The 12,586-nt window shown below is 38.7% G+C and overlaps 1 protein-coding gene across 4 annotated transcripts in view; it reads right to left on the bottom strand.

Moving 5' to 3' along the window:
* CEP135 (centrosomal protein 135) overlaps positions 3,697–12,586 on the bottom strand; it is an 84,417-nt gene continuing 75,527 nt past the window's right edge. For all 4 annotated transcript variants that reach the window (NM_025009.5, XM_006714055.4, XM_005265788.5 and 1 more), the window contains 2 exons: positions 12,444–12,557; positions 3,697–5,698 (listed from right to left, as the gene is read on the bottom strand). In NM_025009.5, coding sequence (NP_079285.2) covers positions 12,455–12,557 — 103 coding nt within the window. In that variant the 3' untranslated portion in view covers positions 3,697–5,698; positions 12,444–12,454. The remainder of the gene's footprint in view (positions 5,699–12,443; positions 12,558–12,586) is intronic.

Genomic DNA, 12,586 nt, shown 5'->3' with positions numbered 1-12,586 from the left:
CTAGAATTCAGAAAAAAAAGGCAGAAACTGAAGAGATAAATTCTGAAGTTAACAAGAGAGTAAGTAGAGATGAACTAAGACCCTAGGATACTCCTTTAAAAGTTGAGAAGATATTTCACAATCATGTGAATAAACCTAACACTACTGCACTGTACAATTAAAAATGGGTAAAACGATAATTTGTATGGTATGTTTACCACAAAAAAAACCCTCATCAAATGAAAAAAAAAGTCAGGAAATGTTAGTAAATACAATAAAAGAAACTGAAAAACCAGTAAGAAGAACCAGGATGGTTTGGTACTGGGGAGGCAAAATGAAGAATATGTTTTTTTTTGTTTTTGTTTTTGTTTTGAGACAGAGTCTTGCTCTGTCTTGCCCAGGCTGGAGTGCAGTGGCACCATCTCAGCTCACTGTGGCCTCTGTCTCCTGGATTCAAGCAATTCTCCTGTCTCAGCCTCCCGAATAGCTGGGACTGCAAGCGTGTGCCACCGCACCCAGCTAATTTTGTATTTTTAGTAGAGATGGGGTTTTACCATGTTGGCCAGGCTAGTCTCGAACTCCTGACCTCAGGTGATCCACCTACCTCGGACTCCCAAAGTGCTGAGATTACAGGTGTGAGCCACCACACCTGGCCATTTTTTGTTTGTTAGTTTTTGTTTTTTTGAGACAGGGTTTTGCTTTTGGCACCCAGGCTGGAGTGCAATGGTGCAACCTCGGCTCACTGCAACCTCCACCTCCCGGGTTCAAGCAATTCTCCTGCCTCAGCCTCCTGAGTAGCTGGGATTACAGACACCTGCCACCACACCTGGCTACTTTTTGTGTTCTTAGTAGAGACGGGGTTTCACAATGTTGGCTAGGCTGGTCTAGAACGCCTGACCTCAGGTGATCCGCCTGCCTTGGCCTCCCAAAGTGTTGGTATTACAGGTGTAAGCCACCACGCCTGGCTAAAGAGAATCTTTTTTAAAGAATGGAAAAATCAGTATGTCAAATGCTGCTGAGAAATGGAGTAAACAGAAGACTGATGGTGATCCATCAGATTTGACAACATGAGGACTGTTTCACTGGAGTAATGGGAATTTAAGCATGACTGCAGTAGTTCAAGAAAGGTGGGTGTTAAGGGGGAGATGACATGAGTTAGATAACTCTTTTCTGGGAATTTTTGCTATAAAGGGTACAAAAATGGAATGGTAGGGCCTGGGAAGGTTTTAAAATGGGAGATTAAAAATGGGAGGTATATATGCAAGTGAGAACAAGCCAATAGAGCAAAAATGACTCAGGAATGTGGGTTTTTTTTTTTTTTTTTTTTAATTTGAGACAGGGTATCTCACTCTGTGTTCAGGCTAGAGTGCAGTAGCACAATCACAGCTCACTGCAGCCTCAACTTCCTGGGCTCAAGTGGTGCTCCCACGTCAGCCTCCCAAATAGCTGGGGCTACAGGTGAACGCCATCATGCCCAGCTAATTTTTTTTAAATTTTCTGGATGAGGTCTCCCTATGTTGCCGAGGCTGGTCTCGAACTCCTGGGCTCAAGTGATCCTCCTGCCTCAGCCTCCCAAAGTGCTGGAATTATAGGCTGAGCCACCATACCTGACAGAAGTCTTTCCAGTAGAAGAGATGGCTACTGATCACAACTAGACAGAATGGCTAAAGGGTAGAGATGGTTCATGTCCTAATAGGAAGAAAGAAAATTAGTTGGATAGAGAACACGTTGATAGATTTGGAGAGTGAGAAATTTCTTTTCTATTGTTTCCCTTGTCTCATAGAAAAAAAAGAAACAAAGTGAGAGAAGCATAGAAGGTCTGAATAAAGAGGAGAATACTTGTTGGGGAGAGGTTAAGTGTGAATTGATCAGAACAGTGTATAAGGATTGTCACACAGTGCTGCGGGCCTTTGATTTTCAGGGCCATAAATTTAAAGTAAAAAGAGTCAGTAGGTATAGATGCAAGCAGCTGGATGTTTTTCAGATCAGAAGGATAAGAATTTAGGGGATGTGCAAGGACAATGATGTCTATGCTAAAGAAAGTGAGGGTGATGGGCTGGGAGTGGTGGCTCACACCTGTAATCCCAGCACTTTGGGAGGCCGAGGCGGGTGGATCATGAGGTCAAGAGATTGATACCATCCTGGCCAACATGGTGAAACCCCATCTCTACTAAAAATACAAAAATTAGCTGGGTGTGGTGGTGCGCATCTGTAGTCCCAGCTACTCGGGAGGCTGGGGCAGAAGAATCGCTTGAACCCAGGAGATGGAGGCTGCGGTGAGCCGAGATCATGCCACTGCACTCCAGCCTGGCAACAGAGTGACACCCCATCTCTAAATAAATAAACAAACATTAAAAAAAAGAAAGTGAGGGTGATGAAATTATAGATAAGTGATAGATGATAGAATCAATTGTCTGAAGAACCTAGTGGAGTCAAAGAATTGTTGGTATATTCATAATCAAAACAGTAACCTAGAAAGAGGGGTGAGTAGGATGCTAGAAATTGGGACTGTGGAGGTGACGACAAGATCTAAAGCAGTGTTCTTCAAAACTATATGTTAAGTCCCATTAGTGGGTCATGAAATCAATTTGATGGATCAGCCTCTTAAATTAACATTATTAACCCTGCTGAACATAACAGTCTTGTAGGGGACCTTAAAAACACACAAACAAACAAAACCACCATCATGTCATTCTCAGTCACATGGAAGGAACTGGAGGACATTGTTAATTAAGTGAAATAAGTGAGAAACAGAAAGTTAAACACTGCATGTTCTCACTCGTATGTATAAGCTAAAAAAAAGATCTCACAGAAGTAAAAAGTAGAATAGAGGATACTAGAGGCTGGGAAGGATAGGGGAAAGGGAGCAATAGGGAGACATTTGCTAAAGGATACAAAATTATAGCTAGATAGGAAGAAGAAGTTCCTAGTATTCTCTACCACTGCAGGGTGACTATAGTTAATATATGGCTTCAAATGTCTAGGAAGAGGATACTGAATGTTCTCAACACAAAATGATAAATGAGATGATGGATATGCTAATTACAATGATTAGATCACAATATATGTATTGAAACATCACTACGTACCTCATAAATATGTACATTATATGTCAATTTTAAGTTTAAAAATTTTTAAAAGACCATACTTCAATTGCAGAATTTCTGATATATTTGGTCTGGTGTAGGGGTTCAGACATCAGTTATTCATTAAAATTCTCCAGATAACTACAATGTGCAGGTATAGTCAATAACCATTGGCCCAAGAAGATACTGATATAAAAAGGCTGATAATAGAACTAATGGTAGAAAGATAGTAAGCCACTTGCTAAAGTCTTCTAAGAATTAGGGAGAGAAGTATGAGATCACTTGTATGATGAATTACAATAAGGTACGGCAACAGGTGTCATAGTCTAATGGGAGTCAATGTGCTCAACAAAGAGCATTTGCAAGTGAGAAGAGCGTATATTCATACGCACACACGTTTAACCATTTTGTGGACAGATAACAAAAATAAACTTTGGCTTCATTTCTTATTATTTTGAACTAAATGGAAATAAAAGTCAGTTAAGAAAGGTGCCTGGCACCTATGTTCAGGGATTTGTCCATATCCCACCATGATAAAGTTTGATTTGAATAAACTTTACTTAATTTTAGAATTAAGAGTATCCCTAATATAAAATTATAAAAACCTTATTTGTAAGAAAGAGAAAATAAATAGGCTAGAAAGTTTATTGGCAAATCTAGGTCAAGCTCCATAATTTAAAATTATTTAAAACAAAATCAAAAACATCTATAAAAGGTCAGAACATTCAGTATTTTAAGATAAAATTTTTTCAAAACAATATCATGGTTATGAAAACAACATTTGGCAGGCTATACATTTTTAAATTATAGAAAACATTAAAAATAAAATATCTAACAAAATATGTCTTGCTGTTGCTTTTGGGGAAAAGGTGGAGACAAATATTTTTTATTTTATTTACATATATTTATTAAAAGATTTCCATATGGTATTGCAAACAGTCCCATGTCTCTTGTATTTTGCTATAATATATGAATTCACACAAAGGAGATGGGATACATAAAATTACAAAGGTGGTAGAAAAGCAAACCAGCCCACATCCTAATACACACTAAAAAGGGCATAATTCAGATATATAAGCCATATTAGTTTTAGAAAAAGAGCACTGCCCACCCCCAGGTATACACACACACACACACACACACACTTCACTTTATTAAACCACAAGAGGAAACAAAATATATCATAAGTAACTGATCATTCACTTTCCTATGTTAGTTTTTATGTTTTTCAATCATAATGAAATATATTAAGAACAGATTTTCTTCACGATTGATTTTTGTATCTGATATTCTTTTTTGTACTTCTGTTGTTTCATTAACATAGGTATACACCCAAATTCTTTAAAATTACAACTTTGAAAATTAATTGTAAAAAGCTGTTTTCCATGTATATTACACAGTTCGGCGTTAAAAATGGCATTTTGGGGAACTGGTAAATTATAACACACAGGCTTAGAAGAAAAAGAGTGGTATCACTGAATGTATATTGGAATTTAACAAAACGTTTTACTGTATTTACCCCATATATTTTTCTTTTTTTTTTTTTCTGAGACAGAGTGTTACTCTGTCACCCAGGCTGGAGTGCAATGGCATGATCTTGGCTCACCGCAGCCTCCACCTCCCGGGTTCAAGCAATTCTCCTGCCTCAGCCTCCCAAGTGGCTGGGATTACAGGTGCCCGCCACCAAGCCCAGATAATTTTTGTATTTTTAGTAGAGATGGGGTTTCACCACATTGCTCAGGCTGGTCTCAAACTCCTGACCTTAGGAAATCCACTCGCCTCGGCCTCCCAAAGTGCTGGGATTACAGGCGTGAGCCACTGCACCCGGCCTACCCCATATACTTTTATACTTTGAAACCTTAGATTAATACACCGAGGAATTTTATTTCCTAGAAAAATGTCCCAAATTTCTGTTCTATTGTTTTATACAAAACTCTGCATATAGCTTTTAGTTTGCTTTTGAATTTGTGTTACATAGAGTCCATATGATGATAGTTAACATTTTACATAATATATAAATGTATCTTTCTCATCATAGTTCTTCTAGATGGCAATAACACGTTATATATGGTAGTTATTTTACCAAGACCTCTGCTATTATAAGAAGACTAGACCTGAATATATTCCCCTTGACAACAGACAGTAGATCTATGAATAATTTTAAGAAGAAAAAGTTAAGCATGACAGCATAGCATCAAAGTTGATAATTCTTTGTGAATACATTAAGATATGGTCTAAACATAGGCATGACAACTAAAAACAAGTACTGTAAGAATATTTACATACACATATCATGGCTTATTAATAAACAGATTATTAAAGAATAATGTGAATACATTATATTAATTCACAGTATAAACATACTTTTAGTAATTTAATTCATGAATAATAAAAATATAGATACATTAGGCACTATTAATACATATTCTTGTTCTGTCATATATATGAAAATATACATATAGATATAGTTCTTTTAAACCAAACTTTTTAACATATTCACTGATTTAAATAAAAGTTGACAGAGGTAGAATTTGTGTCCATGTTCATGATTTTCAGCAACAAGTACTTCAAATATTTCATTACTGTTCTGTTCTTTTAAAAATCCACATAGGAACTCATTGAAAGCCATTATTCTGAAAGGGAGGAAATTGAAAGGTGGGTTAAGAGAAAAATGATAAAGTTATTCAACATATTCATAAAAAACTGAAATTCAATAATGTTATAAATGAAATTATAGAATCTAATAAAACTCTGTGCCCCACATCCAGTTATATTTAAGAAGTACTGTTCTACTTCTGAAAGTTCAAGTACTGTTTTATTCATTGTACTTTATTTTATTTATTTATTTATTTATTTATTTAGAGATAGGGTCTTGCCGTGTTGCCCAGGCTGGAGTGCAGTGGCGTGATCATAGCTCACTGCAGTCTTGATCTCCCATACTCAAGTGATCCTTCTGCCTCAGCCTCCAGGCAGGTGCACATCACCATGCCTGGCTCATTTTTTTTGGTATTTAGTATAGATGAGGTCTTACGATGTTGTTTAGGCTAGTCTCAGACTCCTGAACTCAAGTGATCCTCTCACTTTGGCCTCCCAAAATGCTGGGATTACAGGTGTGAGCTACCCTGCCTGGCTTATACTTTTGTTTAAAAAAGTGATTTTTGTTTCCTTATTTATATATCTCTGTATTTTATGTTTCCTCAGTGAGTCTGTGTGATACTGCATTATAACAAGAAACACAGGCTGGGTGCAGTGGCTCATGCCTGTAATCCCGGCACTTTGGGAGGCTGAGGCAGGAGGATCGCTTGAACCCAGGAGTTCAGGACCAGTCTGGACAACATAGTGAGACCCAGTATCTATAAAAAAATACAAAAATTAGCTGGGTATGGTGGCACACACCTGTAGTCCCAGCTACTCAGGAGGCCAAGGTGGGAGACTGCTTGAGCCCAGGAGTTCAAGGCTACAGTGAACTCTGATGGCACACTGCACCTCTCCAGTCTGGGCAACAGAGCGAGACCGCGAGACCTTGTCTCTAAAACAAAACAAAACAAAACACACACACAGAAATATGGTCATATGTTCCATAATGATATTTTGGTCAATGACAGACTGCATAAAAGACTGTGGTCCCATAAGATTATAACAGAACTGAAAACTTCCTATTGCTTAGTATTTACTATGCTATGCTTTTAATCATTATTTTAAAGTGTACTCTTACTCATTAAAAAATAAATGTTGACTATAAAGCAGCCTCAGGCAGGTCCTTCAGGAAGTATTCCGGAAGAAGGCACTGTTATCACAGGAGATGGCAGCTCCGTAAATGTTATTGCCCCTGAATACCTTTCAGTGGGGCACCATGTAGAGGCAGGAGACAGTGATATTGATGATCCTGACTCTATGTGGGCCTAGGATAATGTGTGTGTTTGTGTCATTGCTTTTAGAAAAACACTTTAAAAAGTAAAACAAAAGTTTATAAAGGAAAAAAGTTACAGTAAGCTAAGGTTAATTTATTATTGGAGAAAATTAAAACAATAAATTTATTGTAGCTAAGTATACAGTGTTTATAAAGTCTATAGCAGTGAACAGGAATGTCCTAGGCCTTCACGTTCACTCACCACTCACTCACTGACTCACCCAGAGCAACTTCCAGTCCTGCAAGCTCCCTTTGTGGTAAGTCTCCTATATAGGTGTACCATTTGTTATCTTTTAAACCACATTTTTACTGTATGTTTTCTCTGTTTAGATGCACAAATACCATTGTGTTACAACTGCCTACAGTATTCAGTACAGTAACATGCTGTACAGATTTATCGCCTAGGAGCAAGAGGCTATACCATATAGCCTGGGTATGCAGTAGGCTATATACCATCTAGGTTTGTGTAAGTACATACATTCTATGACATTTGCACAATATCATGTAAAACAAATTTCTCAGAACATATCCCCTGTTGTTAAGCAATGCATGACTGTATATATTGGGTCTCTGCCCCTGGTTCTTGGCCCACAGCTCCTTGTAATCTCCAGAGTGATAATTTTGTCTTTTGCAAGCTAATGAGATGACTGGTGGCTAGAGGCCACTAAATAGCTTCAGGATGGGAGCTGATCACCACAAAGACCAATGCATGATTAGAGAATTGGGCCACTGGCTCCACACCTCAACTTCCAAAAAGAGGAGAGGGGCTGAAGGTTGAATTGATCATGAATGGCTAATGATTTAATCGATCATATCTACTTAGTGATACCTGCATAAAACCTCCAAAAACTGGGTTCAGGAACCTTTCAGAAAGCTGAACACTTGGCGATGCTTACAGGGTGGCGCGCCTTGAGAGGGCACAGAAGCTTTGAGCTGCTTTCCTGATAATTTGCCCTATGCATCCCTTCCACTTGCCTGTTAATCTGTATCCTTTATAATAACCTTTTCAATAAGCAGGTAAATGTAAAAATGTTTCCCTGAGTTCTGTGAGCTGCTCTAGCAAATTAATAGAATGTGATGAGGGGGCTGTGGAAACCTCTTCAGTCAGAAGCACAGATCACAACCTGGGACTTGCTATTGGCATCTGAAGTCGAGGGGAAGGGATTTGTGGGATTGGGCTCTTGATCTGTGGGATCTGACACTATCTCCAGGCAGATAATGTCAGAATTGAGTTAAATGTTAAAATTGAGATCAATTGGTGTCTGCTGGAGAATACAGTGTCTGAAGTGGTATGCTGAGTGGTGTATGAGAATCGGAAAAACACTTTTATAGGCTTTTCCTATCTCAAATAGCATGCATTAGATATGATAGTCAAAAAACAAATAATAAAAGTTGGATTGTCTATTTAACTATCAGAGAGACACTAATCTGAGATGCCATTTTATAGTTGAGCAATTCATTTTTTTTTTTTTCCTTGAGCAATTCATTTCTGAGTGCTTGGGGAAATCCCTTAAAATTAGTTTTGGTGACAATATTTAGAAAATACGAGGGGAAATGGATTAGTAAATAACAATCTCATTAATATACCTCAAAAATTAATTGTAAATTATTACAAAGTTATAAATTATGAGTTTGTTGATGATTATAAAAGCTTTCTAATCTGCATGTACTAGAATTATTGTAATTAAAAAGTGGAAAATAACAAGTGTTGGTGACGATGTGGAGAACAGGAACCCTCATGCATTGCTGGTGGAAATATAAAATGGTGCAGCACGTGGAAAACAGTTTGGCAGTCCCTCAAAAAGTTTAACAGAATTACCATATGACCCACCAATTCTAGTCTCAGGTATATACTAAAAGATTTGAAAACAAGGACTAAAACAGATACTTGTACACCAATGCTCAGAGCAGCATTACTCACAATAACCATATGATAGAAACAACCCAGGTGTCTTCAACTGACAAAAGGATTTTTTAAATGTGGTATATCCTACAATATGGATGAACCTGGAAAATATTATTCTAAGTGAAATAAGCCAGATACAAAAGAACACATGTATGATTTCACTTATATGAAAATGTAAAATAGGCAAATTCATAGAGACCAGAAAAGTAGATCTGAAGTTACTAGGAGCTGGGAAGGTTAAGGTCTGGGGATTGGAGAGTGATTGTTTAATGGGTACAGAATTTCTGTTTGGGGAGATAAAAAAATCTTAGAATTAGATAGTGGTGATGGGTGTGGTGGCGTGCCTGTAGTCCCAGCTACTCAGGAGGCTGAGGCGGGAGGATTGCTTGAGCTCAGGAGAGTTTGAGGTTTCAGTGAGCTATGACCATGCCACATCCTTCCAGCCTGGGTGACAGAGTGAGACCCTGGCTCTAAAAACAAAACAAAACAAAACAAAAATGCAGTGTCTAATTCATCACAGTTTCAGGGACTGCAGGAATCTATGTTCCATATCAGTAGTTCTTAAAGTGCAGTCTGGGGATCCCTGAGAATCCCCAATACTTTCAGAGACTCTACAAGGTCAAGCCTATTTTCATAAAACCAAGGAATTATTTGCCTTTCACTCTTATTTTCTTACAGGTCTACAGTTGAGTTTTCCAGAGCTACATGATGTCAAGAGACAGGCAGTAAATATTTTAGATTTGTGGGACATGGGGTCTGTCAAAACTACTCAACTCTGCCACTGTAGTAAAGCAGTCTTAGACAATCTGTTAACAAATGGGTGTGGCTGTGCTCCAATAAAGCTTAATTTACACTAATAGGCAGTGGTATGGATTTGGCTTGCAGATCCTAGTTTACCAACCAACCCCTGATCTAAACTGCAGCTGTGAATCAAACATGAGAAAATGTCTGTGTCACATTCTTACAATCCTTTGTAACAAGAAGGTGAACCACCATCTGATCACATGAAAATAACACAGCAATTCAAGAAGGACACAGTGACTACAGTGAACACTGAGAAGTGGTCCTCAAAGTGAAAGAGAAAAATAAATGCCCTAATCAAACACAAAAGCAGAAGCAGAGCAATCAGGAATCATTTAAACCAAGGCCCTACAAACTTGAGGGCATCAGTACGTCAAAGAATAGCACATAACTAATGTTCACAATGAGGATTCTGAGTCAGAGGAAATGTTTAATTATCTTCTATATATTTCTATCAAAAGAGGCAAAGAAATGTATCAATTTAAACAAGACTGGCATAACTATTTCTGTCAATGAGTATGCATTTTCCACAGTCACTACCTGTCAAAGCCTGGGTCTGACTCATGTTTCTTTCCCACTCATTCCCATCTCCAGTGAATCAGCACATCCCTTTGATCCTTCCTCAGTCAAATGCATCCTGGCACTTTACAACTACTTTGGAAAACAGTTTACCATATCTCCTAGAGCTTGAACATACACATATCCAGTGATCCATCAATTTCACTTCTAAGTATAACCATAGCACTATTTGTAATAGCCCAAACTGGAAACTGCCAAGTGCTTATGAACAGAAGGAGGAGTAATTGGATTGTAGTAAGTTTCCATAATGGCATTCCATACACAGCAACAAGAGTGAACAATCTACAAGTACACACAACAATATGGATGGATCTCACAAATGTACTGTTGAGAAAAAGAAGCCAGGAACATGATTTCATTTATAAAATGTCTAAAAGTAAGCAAAAAGAAATCTACACTTTTAACAGTCAGGACAGTTACTTTTAGACCAGGGCTTATGACTGACGCCAAAGAGAAGTTAGTTTTGTTTTGTTTTTGTTTTGTTTTTTTGAGATGGGGTTTTGCTTTGTTGTCCAGACTGGATTTGAACTGGGCTCAAGTAGTCCTGCAACCTCAGTCTCCTGTGCCAGGCTTTATATTTTATTTTTTTGGATGGAGTCTCACTCTGTCACCCAAGCTGGAGTGCAGTGGCGCGATCTGGGCTCACTGCCACTTCTGCCTCCTGGGTTCAAGCAATTCTCCTGCCTCCGCATCCCAAGTAGCTAAGACTACAGGTGCGTGCCACCATGCCCAGCTAATTTTTCTGTTTTTAGTAGAGACGGGGTTTCACCATGTTGGCCAGGCTGGTCTTGAACTCCTGACCTCAAGTGATCCACCCGCCTCGGCCTCCCAAAGTGCTGGGATTACAGAGGTGTGAGCCACCGTGCCTGGCCTATTTTTTTTTTTTTTTGATTTTCATGCAGGTTACCTGGATGTGTTCAATTTGTTCATTGAAAAAATTCATTGAACTATGTATCTATGATATGGTACCTTTCTGTATATATTTCATGGTTTACTTTAAAAATTATGTCCTAGCTTTCAATGTTATTATACTAATCCTGAACTATTATACTGCTCATTTCATACCACTTACTGGTCTCTCTACCTCTAGTTCCTATCCTTTCCAATATGGTTCAAACACAGTTGTGAAATTAATCTACCAGAAACAGTTATTTCATCTTGACCCTTCCCTTGTACCCATCCTATACACAGGAGGACTGACGTTCACGTTCCTTTTGACTTACAGAATAAAGTCCACAATCTCTAATTTAGCTTCACATTCAATATAATACTCTATATATCCCACTCTACCTTCCAAACCTCTCTCCCTCATTATTCCCCCACAGCCTGCCCTTCCTGCCAGGTTACTACTGTACCATGTGTACTACTGTTTCTATGCTTTGTCTACATTTTTACTACCTATTATTTGTAGCCTGAATTTAGCCCTTCATCAAATAATATCCTGTGATAGCTCATATTGTCATTTAACGTTATGCTGTAGATGTCTTCTCTTTTTAAATTCAGGTATAATTTATATACGATAAAATGCATGGACCAGCCTGTAGTCCCAGCTACTCAAGAGGCTGAGGTGGGAGGACTGCTTGAGCCCAGGAGTTTGAGGCCAGCCCAGGCAAGATAGTGAGAACTCTTTGTTTTTTTGGAGATAGCTGCTTGCTTTGTCATGCATACTGGACTGTAATAGTGCAATCACAGTTCACTGCAGCCTCAACCTTCCGGGCTCAAGCCATCCCCCTGCCTCAGTATCCTCCCCCACCTCCCCAGCAGCTGGTACCTGGGACTACAGGTGTGTGCCACCATGCCTGGCTAATTTTTGTATTTTTTGTAGAGGTGGAGGTCTCACTGTGTTGCCCAGGCTTGTCTCAAACTCCTAGCCTTAGGTGATCCTCCAGCCTCAGCCTCCCCAAAGTGCTGGAATAACAGGTGTGGGCCACTGTGTCTGGCCGAGACCCCATCTCTTAAAAAAAAAAAAAAGCATACACTGTAAATGGTCAGTTTTATGAATTTTTACAATTGTATATACCCACATAACTACTATCACCAAGATATAGAACTTTTCCATTACTCCAGGAAGTTCTCCTGAACGCCTTACCAGGCAATCTCCCCTTTCCTGATGCAGAAAACTACTTTCTGAATTTTTACAACCACAGATTAGTTTTGCCTGTCCTTGGTGTTACATACATACCTTTCTGATAATTACACATTTCTATGTTCAGGAGAATGTGAAGGAGACCTCAGAGTGGAACTAAGGGGTGGTGTAGCAAGACCATGTCGACGCATCTCTTGGATTGCTCGTTCTCTGTTAGTAAAGATCAAACAAGAGAGATA

Source organism: Homo sapiens, chromosome 4 (genome assembly GCF_000001405.40).
Source record: "Homo sapiens chromosome 4, GRCh38.p14 Primary Assembly".
NCBI lineage: Eukaryota > Metazoa > Chordata > Mammalia > Primates > Hominidae > Homo > Homo sapiens.
This window is presented reverse-complemented; position numbering and strand designations above follow the sequence as displayed.